The 25191-nt window shown below is 37.9% G+C and overlaps 2 long non-coding RNA genes across 5 annotated transcripts in view; one reads left to right on the top strand and one right to left on the bottom strand.

Moving 5' to 3' along the window:
- The first annotated feature begins 464 nt into the window (after positions 1–464).
- LOC127239154 (uncharacterized) overlaps positions 465–25191 on the top strand; it is a 34786-nt gene continuing 10059 nt past the window's right edge. The window contains exons 1-2 of one of the 3 annotated variants that reach the window (NR_182074.1): positions 465–624; positions 8599–8703. This is a non-coding gene — a long non-coding RNA (uncharacterized LOC127239154). Of the gene's footprint in view, positions 625–1656; positions 1754–8598; positions 8704–25191 lie in introns of those variants that run through there. The other 2 variants (NR_182075.1, NR_182076.1) reach the window with 2 other exon arrangements.
- Positions 13678–24746, bottom strand: LOC124903815 (uncharacterized). 2 transcript variants are annotated; one of them, XR_007065335.1, is made up of 2 exons: positions 24575–24746; positions 13678–16769 (listed from the first exon to the last, which is right to left on the bottom strand). It is a non-coding gene; the product is annotated as an uncharacterized LOC124903815 (long non-coding RNA). The 2 variants fall into 2 exon arrangements; XR_007065336.1 differs by having other exon boundaries at positions 13678–14769.

Genomic DNA, 25191 nt, shown 5'->3' with positions numbered 1-25191 from the left:
ATCCAGCTGGATGCGGGCGCCTGTAGTCCCAGCTACTCAGGAGGCTCAGGCAGGAGAATGGCGTGAACCCGGGAGACGGAGCTTGCGGTGAGCTGAGATCGCACCGCTGCACTCCAGCCTGGGCGACAGAGCAAGACTCCGTCTCAAAAAAAAAAAAAAAGTATACCCTGAGGCACACATCAAGCGACATGTAGAGTTCATAAATTCTGGCCAAATGGTCATACCTCAAACCTCATCAGCAGTAAGGCTCTTTACTTGCACTGACAAATATGAACGCTGGGGAATTTGGAAATGATATATAATATATAATATTATATATATAATAGATTAATATATAATATATATAATACATATATAATATTATATATGTAATAGATATACAATATATAATATATAATAGATATATAATATTATATATAATAGATATATAACTTTCCATGTGATTTTCCTCTTAATTTTTTTCTAGCTGATCCATATGAATTCCTCTTATTAAGAAAAATAAAGCATCCAGGATTCAATGAAGAACTGACTATCACCTTGTTAATCATTCAGAAACATGTTGCAGGCTTAAGCCATTTTTGATATAGATACTGAAACAATTACTTGCTAAGAGCAAACTTGAAGGTATGGATAAGGCCCTGAGTCATCTTCCTGAGCTGAATGATAGTTAAGCTGAATGTACGTATAAAATATGATTTTCTAACCACTTGCTCGCCAACAAGGAAAACTTTTAAGTAGAGCAGAACCTGAATAGACAAGACATTTCTTTCTTTTGGTAGAAAATGATTTACCATCACTGTGTAGTTAATTGTAGACTAGGTAATTTTAACTTTGTGATTTATTGCCGGAGACATTTTCTTCTGTACTGTAAAGTGTGTGTCAAAAAAAAAATAGCGATTTTGGAGGATTAGGGGACTTTGATAAATTGCCTGCAATTCTGGCAGTATGAACTGCATATTAATTTCTCTCTTTCAAGAACATTTTTATTAATTAATTCCTTACAAAAACTCCCTAAACTTTGGAACAGCTCTCAATTGCCTGTATTCTTTTTTTTCTTATTATGGTACTCTTCTAGAGATTTGGCTTGCATCTGTGAATAAGCCAGGACATCTTCAGAAATTGTCTGATTAAAAACACCACCAATGGAGTTTCATTAAATTTGTATTGCTCTGACTAGTGAAACACACACATCTATGTTGCTGAGGATATTTTACTGCAGTTCAAGTTGTAATAATAGCTCTGTTTAAGATCCGTCAGTCACTTGAATCTTCTCTAAGGCTTTGTATGTTAGAAGTTAATTTGCTTTCTTACAAGGCCACATTCTATCTTGTAACTAAACAACTGAATTTTATGTCTTAGCGTAGATGGTTTATTACTTTCTGGTTTTTCTTTAGTAAGAATCCTATAAAAACACTAGTATTTTTCTCTGAGTTTAAAATTCAATACATGCCTACTGATATGGTTAGGCTTTGTATCCCCACCTGAATCTCGTCTTGAATTGTAATCCCCATAGCCCCCATAATCCCCACAGGTCAAGGGAGAGACCAGGTGGAGGTAATTGAATCATGGGGGCAGTTTCCCCTGTGCTGTTCTTGTGATAGTGAGTTCTCACGAGATTTGATGGTTTTATAAGGGATTCTTTCCCCTTTGCTCGGCACTTCTTCATGCTGCCTTGCGAAGAAGCTGGCTTGCTTCCTCTTTGTCTTCCGCCATGATTGTAGATTTCCTGAGGCCTCCCAAGCTGTGCTGAACTGTGAGCCAATTAAACTTCTTTCCTTTATAAGTTACCCAGTCTTGGGCAGTTCTTTATAGCAGTATGAAAACAGAAAAATACACCTACTATGTAAAACTTAAAATACAAAAAAACAAAACATTATCTCACTAACATAGGAGCTAATATTTTGGTGTACTTTGTTTAGTATTTTATATTAAAAATATGTACATATATATTTATATATAATTAAGAACATGTATGTACAATCGTGCATACATCATGTACATACATCTACTTAAGAAAATAGCTATGTAATATACCATTACTCAACTAGATTATAATTTTTTCTCCATTTCTTTATTGTAATTTATCATTTTCTACTTTTTTGTTTTCTCATTTTTATTGCATAATATTTAATTATGCAAAAAATACATTAAATACATTGAAAATATATAGTGTAGCTATAAGAATAAAGAACGATGGTAAAACAAATGCTAATACCCACTACCTGACTTAAAGAATATGATATTATTTTTTTCCAATTGAAATTCCCTCAACTACTCAGAATTACTGCTATCCCTCTTATCCTTTCATTAATTTTCTTCTAGTTTTCTCACATGTGAATCTATTTCTAAATACATTTCTTTATTTTGCAAGTTTTTGGACTTCATATAAATGTAACCATATTGTATATATTCTTCTTCAGCTTCTTAGTTTTTCACTAAACAATATGTTTTGCTGATACTTACATTCATATGTACAGTAATAGTTGATTTATTTTAATGGCTATATATTATTCCATTGTTAGAATACAACAGGATTTATTTTTACTTATTTTTTTTGCTGGAAAATTGGGTGTCTTTTTTATTTTTTGATATAACAAACAATGTTGTAATCATTTTGTATTTACTTCCTAGTCCACTCCTGTAAGTTTCTCTTGAGTACATACTAGCAATGAATATGCTGAGTCACTGCATATACATACTCACAACTTTATTCTATAATGTAATATTCTATAAAGTAGCTGTATCAGTTTATACTTTAACCAGTAACGGACAAGATTTTCTGTTACTTCCCATCTTTGTTAATTATTACTTTTAGACTCTAACTTTTATCAGGCTCATGGATGTAAAAAGCATCTCAGGGTGGTTTTAATTTGCATTTATCTGCTCATCTATGAAGATGAGCTTCTTTTCATATAATTATGAGTCATTATTTTTGTTTTGCCTTCTTTTGTTTATGCATTTTGCTTGTTCTATGTCTTATTTTTCCTGTTGATTTTTGGGAGTTCATATATATTCTAAATGTATATTTATTCACTTATATATATGTTGTAAATATTACAGTTTATGATTTGTCACCTTATGATATCTTCCAAATAGAGAAGCTTTATATTTTGATGTAGTCATATGTTCATTTTTCCTCCTTAATGTTTGTTTTTCTTGGTTCTATGACCTACCAAAAGTAACAAAAATTCTCATTTATTTTTAATCTAAATGTTTTAAGTATTTTCCTGGAATTCACCTTGAATTGATTTCTATTGGAGATAGGTATCCAATCTAATTTGCCTCATATGGATAACCACTTGTTCTATTACTGCTGTAACAAATTTCTACAAACTAAGTGACCTAAAATAACACAAACTTGTCATCTTACAGTGTACACAAGTCAGAAATCAGGCATGAATTTTAGTGAACTAAAATCAAGTTGTCGACAGGCATGTTTCTTTATGGTGGCTAGGGTAGAATCCATATCCTGGCCTTTTCTATCTTCTAGAGAACATCAGCATTCCTTTTCTCATTGCCTCTCCTCTCTCTTTTTAAAGCTGGCAATGTCACATTTCTCTGACCATTCTTTCATTGTCACATCTCTCTCTGGACTCAGCTAAGAAAGGTTCTCCATTTTTAAGAACTCATGTGATTAGACTGGGCCCATCTGGGTAACCCAGGAAGATCTCTCCATCTCGGTTTGCATCCTTAATCACATCTGATAAGCCTTTATTGCATTCAGTGTAACATATTCACAGGTTCCAGGGTTAGGCATGGGCATCTTTGAGGGCCATTATTCTCCCTACCACATTATTTGCCTAGCATCTTTCATTACATTGTCCATCTATTTACTTACTGATTTCTAATGACATCCAAATCAGTTACAACATTTTATGTAAGCATTGTTTTTATTTTTATGTTATTCCACTAGTCTATTTTTCTACTCATGAATTATGGTACATGAGTTTATTTTTGCAACTTTAAGCTCAATAACATGTTTTAAGATTTCCTCAACTTTCTTTTTGCGCTTCTTCAGAAGTTGACTCTTTTGGCCCTTTGGTCTTCTATACACATTTTAGAAATGCTTTGTTGAGGACTAAGAGGAATGCTAAGATTTTGATAGGAATTTCATTGAATTTTGAGTATATTGGCATGCTACAATGGTTAGTGCTTTATACATGAAAATAATATATCCCTTCCTCTTTTCCTAGTATCATGAGATGTTTGTTAGGCAGACATGAATATTGAGTTGTATCAAATGTGGTTTTCTGCATTATTGTGGTGGTGATGTGATTTAGCTCCTTTAATTAGTTAATGTAAGGAATTACATTTGTAGATTGCTCTAACTATTGAAACAAGCTTGAATTTCTGGAATAAGCCCAATGTGATATTTATTCAACAAATATTCATTGAGTATACCTAGTATGTAACATGCTTTAAGAATACACCAGTGAACCAAACAGAAATATCTGACATTACAGAACTTAACATTCCAGTATTTGGAGACAGACGATAAAAAAGTGAACATGTATATTTACAGTTTGTCAAGGAATGATAAATGAAGACTCTTAAAGTAGATGGGGAATTGGGAGTGAAGTCTGTAATTTAAATAGGGTGGGCAGGAAAGCTTCACAGAGAATGGGACATTTAAGAATAGACTTGAAGGACAGGCAAGAGCAATCTCTATGTTTATATGGGAGAAAAGGTTCCAGGCAGATGCAGTAACAATGGCAAATATCCTGAAGTAGGATCATGCTGGAGTTTTTGTGGAGCAGCAAGGAGGCTAGTGTGACTGCCACAGAATCACCCAAGGGAAGATGAGAAGATCAGACCAGACCAGCACTTGGGCATCTAATGGGAAAAGTTTCTCAAGCCATCATAAAAATTTCACTTTTACTATAAATACTACGAGAAACCATGGGATGTTTTACAGTAAGAAAGGTGGCATAATATGTTACATGTTTTAAACAAACTCTATAGCTTCTGAGTTGAAATAGATTGTAGGGGCTCATGGCAGAAGCAGAGGGAACATTTAGGAGACTACTGTAAAGAATATCATGAAAAGAACAAACAACGCTATGTAACATGCTTAAATGGACTGAAGAAGATGTATAAAATCAAAATGATGTTACCTTCACACCTTGAATCAGTACGATAAACCCCCCTCCCCAATCACAAAAGAAAAACTAAACACAAAAACCAGGCTTTGGTTGCTCAGACAATTTTACAGGTGAGTTCTAGCAAACATGCAAAGAACGTTTAATTGCACTGTTACAGAAATTCTTCTGGAGACAAGAAAATAAGACACATCACCCAACCAATTTCATAATAACAATGTCAATGTATAATAACAGAAAAAGTGGATCTCCAAAGAAATAAATTTATTTGGAAATAAACAAGGATTATAATCTGAGATATTTGTGCTATGATCAATCATAGGTGCATCCCAAGAGGTTGAGGTAAGGAAAATATGTAAAGACAAAAAGAAGTCCATGCAAGCTGTTTTGAAACAAACATCATTGGTCACAGGGTCTGATGCAGGAGCTGGTGTTAACTTACTGGCAGAAACAGCCATTGCTAGGCAAGTGTTCTTGTGAGGGTGGCTTATCTGAAATGCTGCAGTCTTGAGGAATTTTTTATGATAGGTCCTATTATAGAGACACCTACAGGATGAGCTGGACAAACAGAGTGTGCTGGGTGGGCAGAAATTTCTTGTGAGTTTATGGAAAGTCCTTGTGATAGTGCTTATCGTGGACAGACACACAAGATCCCCTTTTTCATGACCCGGCTCCACTTTGCTTTGGGTCTGATGTAAGTGACTTTGCCTTGTCATTGGCAACTTTCACTGTAGTATAATCTGCACATCAAAGTTACCTAACAATAGTACAAAGAAAGAAAATTAAAGGTATATCTCTTTCAAAAATATAAACCCCAAAATTGTTAGGAAATTGTAGTGAGTATAAAAGATAATTCATTATAATAAACATCTCAAGCTTCACAGAATTCTGACCTTTGCTACACTCTCATCCACAATCTTTTCTCCTAGTAAATGGCAGCTCCTTCTGTTAAGTTGCTGAGGCTTCTTATTGCTTTTTTCTTCAAATAACAGTCAGAACTGAACAACTGTAATCATCCTAGTCCATACAATTGTTATATTTTCATTTAAAGAAGACCAATGTGTGATTCTTTTTTTATATATTTCTGGACAATTCTTTATATTTTAATAGTAGTCAGAATTTGATCAGGAAAACAGAAGACATCCTATGTATTATAATGATAAAAGTTTAATATTAATTAGGGCCTTATGCTATTATTGGAAGAGCTTGGTGAATAGATATTAGAAAAGCAGCTAGACAAAATCAGAAGAGGTCTGTTTTATATCAGAGATCTTAGCCTGACAGTCTAGAGTGTGGGCACAGAACCCAAGCTTATAGGAATTTCTGAAAGGTCTGTAAATCTTATCCAGATGGACAGTGGGAGCTCATAAAGGATTCTGCAAGCCATCACATCTGTCAAACCTGCTATGTCTAATCCTTAAGCCTGCTTTATTTGAAGACCTCCTCTTCACTCCTCATTTCCAGCTCTCATGAGTTTCTTTCATAGGCAAACCCAGACCTGGAACAATGTGCCTGAAGACTTCGGGTGACACAGTACCCAGACTTAAATAGGAGGGGAGCCATGGTGGAAGTGGCCATCCAGCACAATTTTCTTGGTCTTTACTCATAGTTTTGATTCCTTAAAAAAATTAACCACATTAAAATATGTGTTTCATAATCTACATCTAATAATACAAATATTTAAAGTCTTTTCAAGTTTGAATACGCTACCCATGTTGCTGCTACCCCCATTTTGTGTGTGTGATTTTTGTGTGTGTGTTAGAAGCTCATGACCTTTGAAACCTGCTCTTATGAGCTTGCTTTGATGATTTATTTGTCCAGAGAGGATTTTTTTTCCTACCTAGCATTTTGGACTGCTATCAACCTGAGACCACTTTGAATTAAATTCTCAGCTTGCAAATTTGGAAGCCACACAGATTGTGTGAGTTCAGGCTGAAACCTGTTTGAGAGCTGGATTCTGGCTATAAACTCCACAGGGAACATTTTCTCTCTCCACTCAGAGCTGAGACCATAGGGAAATTTATTTGCTAGCTCACTTTGAAGGTTTATTTTATTTATTTTTTAAATTTCTAGTACACGTGCTCACTGAAGGTGTAATACTTATGTGAGAATCTCAAAATCAGTTGTGTTCTTTGTATGACCCTGGTTTTGTTTCCTCCTGCTCTCTTACTTTCAGTGTGTCTCAGTATGTCTGCTCAATATGTCATCTTAAATTTCAACTGAGGGTGGATCTTCTTCCCAGCTCACTCACATGGTTCTTAGCTAGATTCAGTTTCTCTCCATTTGTAGGACTGAGGACCTCAGTTCTTCACTTAGGGTTGGCTACAGGTAATCATCAATTTCTTGTAACAGGACTTACACTGGGCCACTGACAGCATGCCAGTTGGCTTCATTCAAATGAGAGGGCAAGAGAAAGAGAGAGAGGGAGAGGACACAAGAAGAAATTCACAGTATCTTATAATCTAATCTCAGAAGTGGCATCTCATTTCTTTTGTTCTATTCTATTCAATAGAAACAAGTACCTGGGACCAGCTTACACTATAGGAAAGAGATTATATAAGGGTATAAATACCAAGAGGTAGAGATCATCAAGAGCCATTCTGGTAGCAGCCACAATATCTTATCCAGAATATTTCTTATTCAGGCCTTCAAATGTGCTGTCTTTTCTGGTCTAATGGAAATGAACCTTCCTTCCATACAATTTCTTCTCCTAAATTGTACTCTGGCTCTCTTATCATATACAAACGTCTATGTTAGGTATTTGTGTCTGTCTTGATTCTTGGTAGGCTTTTAAACTCTGTGAATGTTGGACTGTGATGTAGACATCATTTCACCGCACACTCTGTAACCACCAAACCTTAGCAGCTTATTCAGTAAGCACATACTTGGCTCTTAATGAGTATTGCTTAAATTGATGAATTGAATTAGTATTTTACCTTCTCTGTTGCTTAGCTAAGCAGAAGAATTTGTCATTTTTTTAATTTAGTGACTGGTTCTATTAAAAGTTACCTTTGTCTATATCATTTTGTTATACTAAAGCACAAATGTATAAGGTCAAAAAACATTCTCAAGATTTTGTTTAAACCACAGCCCTCAGTTGTGTATATTTATCTCTTGTTTTCATATGCAAGATTTCTCCTGAAATGGGCAACAATTACAAGAGTTTTTTTCCTCTTCTGAACTAAGAAAATAAATATTTAATTCACAAGTTTAGAAAAGTGAACCTGAAAAATCACAGGGCTAGGTGGGTTATGAGGCCCACTGGTACATGATAGTGTTGAATGTGGATTAGAATGAACTCCGTGGATTAGAATCTCAGACCATAGGCAAACATTTACTTGTTTTAGAATAAGCACATTTGAGTCTGCAATAAGTATTACTATTTTTAAGTTGAAAATGTAATTGGTTTCTAATAGTAACCATATTGGCTAGCATTATTTCAATCGTGTTTAATGTTTTCCAATGTCATTTCATGTCAGATATCTCTCTTGATTCTTAGTAACAATTTGGACAAGACAGCAAATGCTATTGTCCAAGTTTTCTAAAGAAGAATCTGAAGTGAAATGACATCAAGAGACCTATCAAGACCTGTATCCAGGAAAAGGTAAATCTGAGCTGAAATTGTAGCCCTTGTAAATTACCTACGTGACATACCAGATAGTGTTCATGATCCATTTAGTACTCTGTTCTGAAAATGAGACAATATCCATTTATTCACTTGTTCATTTATTTAGTGCTTGTTCAGCCCTTACTGCATATTCCAGGCACTATTCTGACTGTGGCAGGAGTGAACAAACAGGCATGGTTCTTACTTGCATGTAATTACAGTCTTATAGTGAAAACAAGTGTTAAACAACAAAATCTCCCAATTATTTTAAAATTATAAACTTGATTCGATACTATGTGGCCATATAATTGTTCCTAATTTGGTTGGAGAAGGGAGACAGTTAGGGAAGCCTTCCCTGAGTTAGTGCCATTTAACCTGAATTATGATAGATGATAAGTAATTTGTCAGGGGAAAAATACTCCAGGAATAAAGAACAGGTACAAAGCTCAGGTTCTGGGAAGAGCTTGTCTTGGTCCAGGAGCTAAAAAATGTTAGAGTGGCTGGATCTGGGAAAGAGACAAAGAGTTATTAAATGAGGCAGCAGGCTTCAGCAGGTGCCACATTGCTCAGGGCCTTGTAGGCCATGCTAAGGATTTGGGATGTTAATGTCAGTACAAACAATTGAGTCGTAAGCAGAAAGTAAAAGCATGATTCCATCAAATGTTATTCTCTAAACAGTAATTTTATAAATACAGGTTAAATGTGTGTGGTCCCAGCTACTCAGGAGGTCCCAGCTACTCAGTATTCCTTTTCAACAAATATTAGGTGCCTACTATTAGCCAGGTACAGCCCTTAGCTACTTTGAATGAAGCATATATTACAAACTGGCAGTATTTCTTAAACAAAGAATCTAAAGTTGTTTATACACCATAATCTCGGTATTTTATAAATTTCTTGAAATTATTTTTATGTACACTGCTTTGCAGAATTTTAACTGGCTTTGAAATAAACAATGACAATAGTCCTCCATGTTACTAGTTTCAAATTTTCCCAATACCTACTAAGACATTACTTAATCCACAGATTTACTGTCAATAGTTTGTATCAAATTGTGATAACATATTTGAAATTAATATTTCAAATTAAAGCAAAATCACAAATTTATACTTTATATTATGAATGAGATTCACAAAAGGAGCATGATAATATATTCTGTTGTCATCGCATACAAAATAATAACATATAGAGTATGAATCAATAATTTTTCAAATACAAAGCTATTACAATTAGGAATACAAAGAAATCATAATTAGGAATACTTCTACAATATTAACACACAATAGTGGTAACACTTGCAAAATGATGGTGGTGGTTTTTTTTGTTTTTTTTTTTCCCCGACAGAGTCTTGCTCTTGTTGCCCAGGCTGGAGTGCAATGGCATGATTTTGGCTCACTGTAAACTCCACCTCCTGGGTTCAAGCGATTCTCCTGCCTCAGCCTCCCTAGTAGCTGGTATTACAGGTGCCAGCCACCACACCCAGCTAATTTTTGTATTTTTAGTAGAGATGGGGGTTTCACCATGTTGGCCAGCCTGGTCCCGAACTCCTGACCTTAGGTGATCCACCAGCATCGGCCTCCCAAAGTGCTGGGATTACAGGTGTGAGCCACTGTGTCCAGCCAGTGGTGGGTCTCATATCTCAATGTGGACTTTTACTAACTCCCAATGCCTCAGTTTCCTCATCAGTTGAAAGGAATGAATGAAAGATATGTGTTTTTCATATTACCAGGTAGATGATAAGGAGATTTTAATTTTCTTTTTTTTTTAACTTTTATTTTAAGTTTAGGGGCATTTGTTACATAGGTAGACTGGTGTCACAGGGGGTTATTGTACAGATCATTTCATCACCCAGGTATTAAACCTAGTACCCAATAGTTATCTTTTCTGTTTCTCTTCCGTTTCTCACCCTCCACCCTCAAGTAGACCCCAGTGTCTGTTTTATTCTTTGTGTTCATGAGTTCTCATCATTTAGCTCCCACTTATAACTGAGAGTATGCTGTATTTGGTTTTCTGTTCCTGCATTAGTTTGCTAAGGATAATAGAAGGTCCATCCATATTCCAGCAAAAGACATGATATCATTTTTTAATGGCGGCATAGTATTCCATGGTGTATATGTACCACATTTTCTTTATCCAATCTGTCATTGATGGGCATTTAGGTTGATCCCATACTTTTGCTATTGTGAACAGTGCTGCAATGAACATTTGTATGCATGTGTCTTTATGGTAGAATGGTTTATATTCATCTGGGTATATACCCAGTAGTGGGATTACTGGGTCGAATGGTAGCTCTGCTTTTAGCTCTTTGAGGAATCACTTTCCTTGCACAATGATTGAACTGATTTGCACACCCAACAACAGTGTATAAGCATTCCCTTTTCTCCATAGCCTCACTAGCATCTGTTAGTTTTTGACTTTTTAATGATAGCTATTCTGACTGGTGTGAAATGGTATCTCATTATGGTTTTGATTTGCATTTCTCTAATGATCAGTGATGTTGAACTTTTTTTTTGTATGTTTGTTGGCTGCATGCATGTATTCTTTTGAAAAGTGTCCGTTCATTCCCTTTGCCCAATTTTAATGGGGTTGATTGTTTTTCTTTTGTAAATTTCTTTACATTTGAAATGTTTTTATTATTAAGTTGAGCTGCCTCATTCTTAGTATGGTTTTTCACTTTAAAAAGCATAAAGGTGGACATGGTGGCATATGCTAGTAATCCCAACTACTGGGGAGACTAATACAGGAGGGTTGCTTGAGCCCAGGAGTTCAAGGCTATAATGTGCTATGATCATGACTGTGAACAACCACTGTACTGCAGCCTGGGCAGAGTGACATAGTGAAACCATATCTCTAAAAAAAGAGAAAATGTAATTTAAATATTTAAATACATATGTATATGTGTGTATATATGTATATATATTGCATATATCAAAAATGGTTTGTAGTTTCCATTCACAGCACATAGTAAAATGTCTTAACCTCCTCCCTCCTCCTTATGTGTGTTTTTCTAAGTGTGTGTCTTTTTTACCTTAATTTTTCTCTTAGTGTCTCATAGTCTTCTTAGGTCTCCCTCTTTCTTCTGTCTTTCACACACACACACACACACATACACACACACACGCATACACACATGTACCTTGAAAAATAGCTTTTCTTTTTCTTAAAACTTCCCAAAGCTTTCATAAAATTATCCCTCAAGCACTCTTACGTATCTCATCCACTCTTCTTCCTCTCTCCCCTTCCTGAAGCCATTTGTAACTTACTCTATTACACTAGGAAGGGGAAGCAAATATTCATATTATTTTCTTGTTATATCCTTAGCCTTACTAGACCTTTGTGGTTTCTATGGATGAGGGACATAATATTTATTAATTTATTCTAAATTTCAGTCACTCATAATATACCCTTTTATTCCTCCTTCTTCTGTGATATTGGGAGTGTATAGTTGTCATTGTGACAAACCCTTTGCTGTCAGTATCTATAGTGGATGGGGAGAAAAGGAGGGCTTTGCCAATCATCGTCTCCAGTGCATTTCCCACTGTCAGTGTCATTGTCTAATGCTGTTTGCATCCACACAGCCTAAGGGAACCATTCAAGTGAGTGACTCCCTCCCTTCACTTCAGCCCATCACTTGAGCATTTCTCTCCCTTGAAAAAAGACAAGTGGTGCTTCTAAGACTTGAGTAATTCTGAATATAATTGAGGACTAGATGTTCCTGTTTTATATCCTACAGGGCTGGCATCTCTAATGCTGAAAGTACAACAAAGTGCAGTGGTAGTCACTGAGTGTTCAGCCATGCTGGGTCATCAAAATAAAAGGAGATCGTCTTCCCATTCCTATCAATGGCCTAATCTCTACCAGATATATAACTGGAAAAACAATGCATTTGCTTAAACATCCACAGTGAGCCACACTTGTTCGGTGTTGTGGGGAAATGATGCAGAAACATCCTTGTTTATTAAGGATCCAATATTGATAGGCTGAGGCATATTTTTCCTCCCAAGTCTGCACATGGTCATGCATTAAATATTAATGAGCATCTTCTCTCTATCAGGCTTTGGGGGATATGTTCACCTCTTGGGAGGTGAACGTGATAGATAAGATCCTTTCTCTCATGTAGCATTCTCTCCATTCTTTTTTTTTTTTTTTTTTTTTTGATAGGGACTAGCTCTGTCACCTAGGCTAGAGTGCAGTGGTGCAAACATGACTCACTGCAGCCTTGACCTCATGGACTCAAGTGATCCTCAAGTGATCCTCTTGCCTCCACAACATCCAGCTAACTTTTAAAAAATTTTTTGAAGAGAAGGTTTTGCCATGTTGCCTCAGCCTCCTGAAGTGGTGGGATTACAGGTGTGAGCCACTGCACCTGGCCACGTTTTCTTTCCATTCTTATGGAAGGCAGTAGTCAGCAAAACAGTTAATCAATTGAGAATATATTAGGTTGTTATAGGAACCATGAAAAAATAAAATAGAGTGTGTAAAGAAGGCTTGATGGCCAGGAAGCTTTTACAGGGAAGTGACATTTGAACTGAGACCAAATACTTAAAGAAGGCAGTTCTTTGAAGAGTTGATGGGAAAGTATTCCAAGAAGTGGGAATGGCAAGGGGAAAGGACTTAAGATGTAACCTCAGAATGATTAAGGAGGAGCATGGTACAAGAGGATGTCAGAAACATAGCCAGGAAAGAGAGCTATGCTTAAGTATTAGGATTTTATTCTTTGCAAAGGAAAAGCCCATTGAAGCTTTAAAGCAAGGCCTTAAGAGTTAACATAATTTTTTTAAGGTACCTTAAAAATTTTGCTGAATGAGGAATTCATTGAAGTGAGTCAGGAATGTATGATTTTGGACAACTGACACAATGCCTGAGGCATAGTTTCTTCATATGGAAATTGGAGACAATGATCAGATCTACCTTAGCAGATTATATAATGAATTATTTTCCTAGGGCTCCTGTAATAAGGTACCACAAACTGGGTAACTTAAGCAACAGAGATTTATTGCCTCACAATTCTAGAGGTGAGAAGTCCAGATCAAGAAGCTGGCAGGGCTAGGCTGCCTGAAAAGGTGCTAAGGAAGGAACTGTTCCAGTCCTCTTTCTCTCCTTCCAGTAGTTCCTTGGCTTGTGACAGCACAGTGTCAATTCTCATATGGCATCCTCCCCGTGTGCCTCTCTCTATGTCCAAATCTCCCTTTTATTTAAGGACAGAGTCACAGTGGATTAGAACATCCCCATAACATGAAGATTGCATGAAATTATATACATAAATAACTCAACAACATAGCTTCCAAATAGAAAACACTCAGCCTTTGTCATCTCATCATTATTTGTTTACACCTTTGTATTATTGGTATAGCTCTAGTCTTTTGAAAGGTGCAGTTACTCATCTTTGTGTTTTCCACTCCTTTATAGCTAAGTGTAAGGTGCTTTTGCAAAATCCAGTACTGCATATTTGAGAAATGCTTTTTATTCCTACACATACTGCATATACTGTTACACAATTCGATTTTGTAGGTCTAATGAAGTTGGTCTTTCTATGAGTTCCTATGGCTAAAAATAGTCACAATTGTGTACTCCAGTAAATTGTTAGAATGAAGGAAAATAGTTTGAGTGAAATTATCAATCTGGTTTTTCTGACTTCAGCTGTGTGTCATGTTTGGTTAGTCAGAGAAACATCTAATGTGAGGCCCCTGGAGGACAGCTGATAAGTAAGCATACCAAGTAGAATGGCTACTGGAAAAAGTGTGCCAGCTAGAGAGAGAGAGAAAAGAGAGAGTTAATTTACCATTTGCTCAAGTAAGGAATGATCCACAAATTCAACAAAATCTAAGTAGTCTTAAAGGACATGTCATTGACAGATTTATCTTCTAGTCTCCCACTTTGTCTAATACTGCTTCAAAACAAAGCAATTTACTGAACCCAGTGGTCTCATTATTCTGGAGGTTTATAAGGTTAAAAATACCTGGAGTTTTGGGAGCAGCAATAGCACTGAAGTGGGATATTAGTAGTGATGCGTGTGTTTACAGCACCTGTGAACACACAGAGACTGAAGCTTGAAGGCTGATGACCCTGAGTTAGGGGAAAAGATAAAACTTTTTATTAGATTTTTTTAATGTCGAGAAGAAAATTATTTATCTCCATATTTCCTGAATATTATCCTCTTACAATTACGTCAATGATTCTCACCCCAGTTATATATTAAAATTACCTGGAGATATATAAAAACTATCAATGTTCTACTCTTCTACAGATTAAATCATCATCACTGAGGGTGGCCCTCCAGCAACCAGGTTTGAGAACCACTTTAGACCAGAATTTTTCTCTGTGCCATTCAGTAATGGCAATGATAACTGTAGGATATGCAAATTGCAGAAAGACAATGGCAAATGATTTAACTTATCCCCAAACAGCTGAACTATCTTAAGCCTCATGGCTACTTTAGAGTGACCAAATCCATGTAGATGCCAGAAGTTGTGTCATACACCTATTTCAAGGGACACATAGAATTTACCTATATATACCTACCTCAAGGGTCATGTCAGTTTACTATTCCCCTAAACAACAGCTTAATAGTATAAACTGCTGAACTGCTGTCTGCCTAATATTTATTGTGGCTATACTTCTTCTTTTCTGTATTAAAGGCCACTGCTTTCCCAGCTTGCTCTTTGTTCTCCATCATCTGTTGTGGGTCACTTGTGCTTTCTGTTTTTAACACCCATGTTGCTGAAGTCATTTCTCCAATTCATGATCCATGAAACTACTTCAGCAGTGAAAATGGCACCCCTCAGGTTCAAGTCAACACTTTTATATTTCCCTCTAGGTCAAGATCCAAGCTATGGAAGAAATCAGGATATGTCAATTTTCTAGAGCAGTCAAGTTTTCTAAAAGTCTACCTAGCCATGTAGTTATGTAGCCTCACTCTCACTTAAACAAAGAAAATTAAAAAGCACACCAGAAAAGACTTTTCTTGTTAAAAACACATGTTTATTGTAGAAAATATAGTAAGGAAAAAGAAGAAAATATAAGGCAACTAGAATTTCTCTAGTTAGAGATAACTATTATTTATTTGAGTGTGTGTATATATCTATATATATATTGACATTCAGCTCTTATGTACTAGATACACACATCTACTGTTTCATAAGCTTTTTTCACAGAATAGATTATAATCAGTTATGTTTGTTATCACCACAACATTTTCTTCTTGAAGACCTTCTGGAATGAGGCATTTGCTTTTCTATCTAGAGACCCTATCCTTTCAAAAGGTCCTTTATCTGTGGAAAGAGCTATTCTGGCCACAGTTACTGCCAAGAAACAAGGTGTTAGAAAAGGCCTAAAGTTAAGTGCAGAACTGTTGTGTTTTGATGAATATTCCGTTGTTTTGAGAGGAGGTAGAAGCATTCTCAACTTCAGGATATTTGCTCACTACTCATTAGTCTCTCTGAGAAGTAGCAAACTTCAAAGGTTAAATATGAAGAGATGAATTGTGTAATGCCTAGATGTCAGTAGCGGAGAAGGTATCTGAGCAAATTCAGAATTTTATCCCTGTCTCCATGGGCCTAGTGTGAAGAACAGTCATTTGTGTAAGTGGGTCTTTGTGTATATGGTAGTGAATCAGGTCACTGAGTCAGAAACTTAGAGCTGTAAGGAAAGTGAGGTGCTCTCCAGTCCAGTGTTCTGGAATTTCTTCTGCAGTGGCCCCCAACAGCAGGTGGCAGCCTCGTCCATGATTGTATTCTTAAGTGACATGGTATTACTCTTTGTATTTGCAATCCATTTCACTGATGGATAGTTCTAGAGATCTGAAATATTGAGATTTAGCTCAGTGTTGTTTATATGAAGATAAATTCCGCTTTCCAACAACTCTCTTGTATATGTCTAATGTCTGCCGCATGGAATGTCACAGATTATGCTTCATACTTGTCTTCCTGAGTCTTCTTTATCCAGAACACCCTGAGTTTTTGAATGGTTGACATGCCAGCTGGCTTTCTGCAGATGTACTTCTCGCGTGTAAATTTCCTTCTCTGTGAGGTATTCATATTGAACATGACCTCCAAGTGTGTTTGGGTCTGTGCAGAAGACAATAGGACTGTGATTTCTGATGATTAAAACCTGGATTGTATGTTACTGTGATCAGACCCTGAGACTGTGTTAGCAAGTTTTATAGCATCTGAGTCGCTCTGTTGGAGGAAAGTGCATGTGATGGGCATTTGCTTGCTTCCCCACCAGATTCTCTACCTTCACCCTTCCTGCAAGATTCCCTAGGAAGCTGACTTCTGCTGAATGCAACACTCAGGTTCTCTGCTTCCTAGATTCTAGTTGAGTTTGGTCCATGGGAGGCCTTGGCAGAAATTTTGAGAGTAAGAGCAAATAATTACTTAACCATTAGAAAAAAATAACATGAATGTGTCCTTCTATCCATGACCTCAGTTCCTGTTGGGGAGCCTCGGTGCCAATCCCTCGGTGCATCACCATTTCTAATTAGTTCCTGTTTTAGTCTGCTTTTGCGTGTGTGTGTATGTGTGTGTGTGTGTGTGTGTGTTGTTATAAAGGAATACCAGAGGCTGAATAATTTTAAAGAAGAGAGGTTTATTTGGCTCACAGTTCTGAAGGTGTGCAAGAAGCATGGTGCCACCATTTGCTTCTGGTGAGGGCGTTAGGCTGTTTCCACTCATGACAGAAGGGGAAGGGAAGCTGGCATGTGCAGAGATCACGTGGCGAGAGAGAGGGGTTTGTGCCAGGCTCTTGTTAACAACCAGCTCTTGTGGGAATTAAGAGAGCTAGAACTAGGTAGGCACGGTGGCTCACGCCTGTAATCCCAGCACTTTGGGAGGCCGAGGCAGGTGGATCACCTGAGGTCAGGAGTTTGAGACCAGCCTGGCCAACATGGTGAAACCCCGTCTCTACTAAAAATACCAAAAATTAGCTGGGCATAGTGGTGGGCACCTGTAATCCTAGCTACTCTGGAGGCTGACACAGGAGAATGGGTTGAACCCGTGAGGTGGATGTTGCAGTGAGCCAAGATCGCACCACTACATTCCAACCTGGGCAGCAAGAGTGAAACTACATCGCAAAAAGAAAAAAAAGAGCGAGCAAGAACTCACTTGGATGGCACCAAGACATTCGTGAGAGGTCCACACTCAGGACCAAAACACCTCCCATTAGGCCCCACCTCCAACAATGGGGATCACATTTCAACATGAGTTTGGAGTGGTCAAATATCCAAACCCTAGCAGTTCCCTTAACCCTGGAAAGAGATCCTTCATTAAACTCTTTCTGCTTAATCCTTTGAGAGTGCAACAATTTCCTGCTAGGACCCTGACAGATAGAGGGACCATACAGATCACTAAAATGCTGAGGAATTTTTCAAATGAACTGCACCCAGCAGACCTCCCTGATTCTGAATATATCAAACTTTTATTTTTTATTTTATTTTATTTTACTTTTTGAGACGGAATCTCGCTCTGTCGCCCAGGCTGGAGTGCAGTGGTGCGATCTCGGCTCCCTGCAACCTCCACCTCCTGGGTTCAAGCGATTCTCCTGCCTTAGCCTCCCGAGTAGCTGGGACTACAGGCATCCACCAGCAGGCCCGGCTAATTTTTTATTTTTAGTAGAAATGGGGTTTCACCATGTTGACCGGGCTGGTCTTCAACTCCTGACTTCATGATCTGCCCACCTTGGCTTCCCTAAGTGCTTGGATTACAGGCGTGAGCCGCTGCACCCAGCCAAACTTTAAAAAAAAAACCCGAATAGTACTTTGAACTTCACCCGCAGGGAGTTATTCAAATTGGTTGTCAGCCAGTTATTTCAGGTTGTTGAGATCATCTGGCTCTTGATTTTATTAATCATCTTAGCCTTCCCTTTCAACAATTTGCCGACTTTGTGCAAATTTTATTAATATGTGATCTCTGTCTTTATCCATGGAGAGGCAGTATAGTATCATAAGGAAAAATAGACTTTGGAGTAGGCAGAAATTAGGTTTGAATTACTAGCCATGAGGCTTTGGGAACATTACTTAAACTCTATAAGCTTCAATTTCTTTATCTATAAGGTAGGTATAAAACCTGAAAGTTTTGGCATGAGTTTAGTAAAACTGTCTGTGAAGCCTTTGTGGACTGCTTGGTCCATGTAGGCATTTGATAAACGGTGGCTTTATATAGAGGAGGGAAATGCAAGCTATCTCAAAAAGAAATCAGGGAAATAAGACTGCCATCTGAAATCTGTCATATGAGAATGAAAGGAGCATAGACAGGTTTTGAGTGTGGGGTGAGGAGTAGGGGAGGGGAGGAGATAAGTGAACTGCCCCTCAGACTTCCAGGGAGGAGAAAAATGATGTCACTGGGAACTGCAGTCATTTGAAAAGATAGCAATCAAGCATCTCTTTCAGAGCCCTGTTCATCTTTCAGTGGCTTTGCTTCTCCAGATGCTTTTGCTCCTTCAATTATCTCTGCCTTCTCCCACCTCCTCTCCAACCATCTCTTCCCTTCCTTAATTCACAATTTTTCTCCCTCTTTTCAAGGCATAGTGCTTTGATTTATAAATTAGTTCTATGTTTCTGTTTTCTAATTTATTAGTTTCTGCTTTCTTATTTATTTATTTTGAGATGGAGTGTCACTCTGTTGCCCCAGCTGGAGTGCAGTGGCATGATCTTGGCTCACTGCAACCTCTGCCTCTCAGGTTCAAGAGATTCTCCTGCCTCAGCCTCCCAAGTAGCTCGAATTACAGGAGTGCACAACCAAGCCTGGCTAGTTTTTGTATTTGTAGGAGAGACAAGATTTCACCATGTTGGCCAGGCTGGTCTGGAACTCCTGACCTCAGGTGATCTGCCTGCCTCAGCCTCCCAAAGTGCTGGGATTACAGATGTGAGTCACCATGCCTAGCCTGCTTTCATATTTATTAATACATTATTTCCACTTTCCTAAGGATAGTTGTTGTTCAACCTTTACTAGCTTTTTTGTTGTTCATACTTAATACATTTATTTTTATTGTGCTATAGCTATTTCCCACATGTGATTTTTTTTTTTTTTTGAGATAGGATCTTGCTCTGTTGCTGAGGCTGGAGTGCAGTGATATGATCATGGCTTGCTGAAGCCCTGAACTCCTGAGGTTGGGTGATTCTCCCACCTTAGCCTCCCAAGTAGATGGGATTACAAGAAGTACCACTATACCTGGCTATTTAAAAATTTTTTTGGCATGTGTGGAGATGGAGTCTCCCTATGTTGTCCAGGCTGGTTGCGAACTCCTGGTCTCAAGTGATCCTGCCACCTTGGCATCTCAAAATGCTGGGATTACACATGTGTAATATTTTTATTGTCACTATTTTCCACATATTCTGGAAATTTTATTTGGATTTCTTTTTTTTTTTTTGACAGAGTCTTGCTGTGTCACCTAGGCTGGAGTGCAGTGGTGCAATCTCAGCTCACTGCAACCTCCACCTTCTGGGTTCAAGGAATTCTCCTGCCTCAGCCTCCTAAGTAGCTGGGATTACAGGCATGAGCCACCAGGCCCAGCTAATTTTTGTATTTTTAGTAGAGACAGGGTGTCGCCATGTTGACGAGGCTGGTCTTGAACTGCTGACCTCAAGTGACCTGCCCACCTTGGCCTCCCAAAGTACTGGAATTACAGGCATGAGCCACTGTACCCGGCCTGGATTTCTTTTTGACACAGAATTATTTAAGAGAAAGCTTTTAAATTTCCATGCTGTAATTTCTAGTTTTGTTGTGTCATAATCAGAGAATATAATCTGTAGCATTTCTACATTCTCTACTTTGCTTAGATGTTTTTAGGGTGGGGTGTGTAATATGTACTGAATTTTGTAAACATTTTATGGACATACAAATTTCAATGTTTACTTTTTCAGGCTATAGGCTTTGCTACATAATTTTTGTGTATTTTGTGGTCCTCATATAGATTTTTTAATTATCTTTTTGCTGTGATAGAGATTAGAAGGGTAAATTAATGTCTCATTTACCATCATTTTTCTTTCTGTATCTCTTTTCATTTCCTGATGCTTTGGTTTTATGAAATCTTTATGTATAAAAATTGTGCACACATATCTTTATGCACAGTGTTTTGGATTTTACCCTTCATAATGAGCTTTTTTCTCTCCTTTGAATTTGACCTGGCCTGGTGTTAACAGCCCAGGTGTAAAATTCCAGTGAGAAAGAAGTCTGATGAGGAGTCAGTAGGATCTTTGTGTTGCTGAGAACTGCTCAGTAACACGGACAGCTCCCTGAACTCCAGGAAACATCCTGATTTAGTGTTTTGAGTATTGTGAAGCACAGTTAGAGCAGAAACATGGAGAATCACCTTAAATGGCAAATTGGCTTCTGGTCTTGCATAAGACTTCATTGAGGCCTAATGGGCTATGCAGGTCTACTGTCCAAAGTACAGAGGTTATTCCTAGTGTCTTTAATATTACTGTCCCTTTAGGCAAGATTATCCTTATGATAAGGGAGAGTGAATTAAGCTATTTTGGCTGAGGCATATTTTTATAAATTCATCCAATTAGCTTCCCTTGTTGTAGTTTTGGCTCACCAAACATTGTTCTCATTATAATTTAGCATCCCATATAATTTCATCTGCAGGGAGAGTCTGTACTAGGCATGGCGATGCTTACATGTCAGCCTGTGTGACTGCAAGAGTCTCAGTACAATTTGATAACATGGCACTCAGATTCTAGACATTATTCTCTGTGTGCTTAGTGAGTGTGATGACATAACCTTCAGAAAGATTCATCCTTTCTCACATATTGATAAATCAACTTTTACATCTACAAAGTTGAGAGCCAGAAATTAAAACCTTATTAATTCACTAAGGCATCCCTATGACGGCAGTCTTCCAACTAGCTCCATTCTGGGGCACTCTGACATCATTATACACTTTCCAATGAAAGCAGGGAGTGTATGTGATTAAAGGGAGAGCCCTGTGGCACTCCTGAAAAATCTCCCCTCCCAGTTCGCATTGACTTATTAACCAACACTCATGATCATGTGAAACTCTAGAACTGGATCTGGGTGCCTGGCAGGATGACATGGTGTGAGGCTCAAGCAGCACTGTGGGAATTCAAGCATCTGTTTATTTCTGAGAGAAAAAGTGTAAAGCAAAATAATATCTTTTAACAAACGTTTGTATTTGACTAAAGAGGAAGCAAGCACTTAATTTATGAATTTGCTAATTGCTCTTCTGAGCTGAGAATATCTGTGTTGGATATTAGTCATTATCCATATTTGGCACAGAATAATCCCGAGGGTTAAATGACATTGTTCCTACAGTGGGCACCTGAAGACTGGCTGTAAAAGCAATCCTGGCCAGGGGCGGTGGCTCACGCCTGTAATCCCAGCACTTTGGGAGGCCAACGTGGGTGGATCATGAGGTCAGGAGTTTGAGACCAGCCTGGCCAACATAGTGAAACCTCATCTCTACTAAAAATACAAAAAAATTAGCTAGGCACGGTGGCAGACACCTGTAATCCCAGCTACTTGGGCGGCTGAGGCAGGAGAATCACTTGAACCTGGGAGGCAGAAGTTGCAGTGAGTCGAGATTGCACCAATGCACTCCAGCCGAGGTGACAGTGTGAGACTCTGTCCAAAAAAAAAAAAAAAGAAAGAAAAGAAAAAAAAAAGAAGAAAAAAAGAGAAAGAAAAAAAAGGAAAAATAAATAAATAAATAAATAAATAAATAAAAGCAACTCTAACACTACTGAGGCTATTGACAGTGGCACTTTGCTCTTCTGTTAGAACCTTGGGAAAATTTTTTCCCCCTGAATACAGTATAATAAACTTGGTTCTTATTTCTCTTTCTCTCCCCCTCCTTTTTTCTTCCCTCCCCACTACCACATGCACACACACAAATAGACAGATTTGTTTATATTTGACTTTCTAAAAACCTGTTACTAGAAAGGCACATTAATACATTTCTCCTGTGCTGATAGTAATCAGGCAACTCTGGTTTCTATTGGAGGCAATTTCTTACGTATTAAATGCCAGAAAAAGGGCATCCTTCCGTTTTTGTAGAGAGCCTTTCTTTATGAAGACTAATGACCACATTAGTTAGTCAGTCAGTCAATAATACTTACCAAATGTCAGTAGAGCAGAAGTGAACACCAACAGAAAATCACATTTTACAAATGCAATTTACTTGGTATCCTAACATGCCATGTCATAATAATTATTGAGGCTTTTCTTCTCTGCTGCATTGGTCTAATGAAAGTGGCTAGAAAAATATGGGTGCCCATGTAGCCTCCTGGAAGCACCTGTATGACTTTTCTAGAAGCGAGGTTCCTGGATAAAGATGAATTTTTAAAAGCTGGAATGAATGAGCAGCAATAGCAGAAGGAGAAAAGTGAGTGAGGGCTCTCCAAGAAGCCATCTGGCAGGCTAAGGGTTCTGAGGGAAGCTCTGGTTTCAGAAGCAACTCAGGAATTACTTCTGTCATATTAGGATGGGATGGTAGGAGATTGGGAACTCTAGGGACTAGAAGTCATTTAATTTCCTGTCTACAATCCTTAGAAGAGGTTTTGAGACTTGCAACCTAGGACCTTAACTAGTCATCTTCCCTCAGCATTGATAGAATTCTTTATTATACATGTTAATATCAGATTAGTCAGGATGGGCTGGATTATGCTGTGTTAACAGCCATTCTCTAAATCTCTGTGGCTCACCAGGGAGCTCTGCCTGTCATGGTCACTTGGGACCCAGGCTTTGGGTATAAGGCTACAGCACATGGAAAATGTATGAATGTCTCTCAGATTGTTAAAGCTTCAGCTGGAAGTGACATGTCATTCTGCTCACAGTTCATTGGCTAAATGAGTCACATGGCTCTCTCTAACTTCAAGGATGGTATGAAATTGCAATCCTACCATATCTCTAGAAGGAGAACCAGCCCTAATCACAATGCTACATGTTTATAGCTTGCCTCATAGAGTTTACTGTATTCTCCTGGTATAATTTTCTTACATGCTCAACTGGAGAGGAAGCTCTTAAATAGAAAAAAAATCACAGTAAATTTCCTTTAAAAGATCTATTTTACAACTCTGGCATGATGGAGCACAATGGAGTCCTTAGTAATGGACTCCATCTCTTCCATCAGATAAAATCTTGAGAACTGAAGTTAAAATCTGAATAATGAAACCAAAGGAAAAACAAATTAAATGAATTTTAAGACACTTGAGATAAGAACAACTGTGGCATCAGCATAACTCAATTTAATAATGTATTAATTATTTTGCAGAAAAGTGAAAACAAATTGATAGTCAAATCAATGCAGCATTAAGCCACCATTTGGTCTAATTTCTTGCTGAATTGACAAAACAAAACACTAGTTTAGTTATATAAACTTGGCTGATGTTTATACAAACAACAGAATTTGCCGGTAGCATTATCACTGGAAAATAAGATGTGTACTTAATTCTTGTATGTTCTGAGCCCATCTAGGAAGAACATACAAGACGAAGAACAAAGCAATCACAGGATGTTATCATGAAAATATCACCTTTGGCTGGAGTAAAGTTTTGGCTAAATGTGGCACTAGTATTTATTACAGCTCACCTTTTTATAATGAAGGGCTATGGACTGAACATTCTTATTATTTCCCATTTTCTTACCACTCTATCCCAACACACATGCACATGCATGCACACACGCACACACACTGGCACCCACACCCATGCATGTGGGACACACAGAGCAGCCTAGGCAATTTCAATTGTTGGCAGCTTTGCTTTTATTAGGTATTAGTCTACCGACTTGCTTTCTCTTTAGAGAGACTAAGTGAAACCAAACTCATTTCCACCCAGTTAGCCTGCTGGAACCTGTAACAGTTACTGTAATGTTAAAAGCAGTAAAACAAAATAAAAACCAGTCAGTTCACTTACTCCCGAAGTCCGCAGTTTGGTGTTCAGCTTTAAAACATATGCTCTGGGTGTCCTGTGGTGGCTACCAGAGGCTTTGGTGAGTCATTGTCAACCCAGTGGCTAGAGAAGTGCTGGAATGCCCCTCTTAAATACAGAGCCAGTTTGTCCTTCAGAATGGCTGCTTGAACGAATTTATTGCTCAACTCAAAAGGCCGTTTTTTATAACCCACTGCAGTTGTGCTTCATGTGTTTCTCCACCTATCCTGTAAAGTGTATTGTGAAATTAATTTTGTAGATTTCCTCACACTGCAGTGACTAGGGAAATCACCCATTCGTTATTATCTAATGAGGAGAAAGTGGAAACATCTAGAAGCACTGCTCCCATCCTCCTCCCCAGCCCACACAGACACCTACCTCAGGCCCTCCCTGTCCCAGGTGAGCAGAGGGCCCCACCTTTGGAGGTTGCCTCCCTTCCACCTTCACCAATCCTATGACCAGATTATCCCCAAGGAAATGTCAATCTCCAGGCAGCAAGGGAATCATATAAAGATAAGATCATTGAGAGATTTTTTTCCTCCATGATTGGCAGTTTATATTTTCTTGGGTCTACAAATCTGACAGTATTTATTACATTTTCT

The sequence above is a fragment of the Homo sapiens genome, chromosome 1, assembly GCF_000001405.40.
Source record: "Homo sapiens chromosome 1, GRCh38.p14 Primary Assembly".
In the NCBI taxonomy this organism is placed as follows: domain Eukaryota; kingdom Metazoa; phylum Chordata; class Mammalia; order Primates; family Hominidae; genus Homo; species Homo sapiens.
Note: the sequence above shows the minus strand (reverse complement) of the source record. Positions and strands in the feature narration are given on the sequence as shown.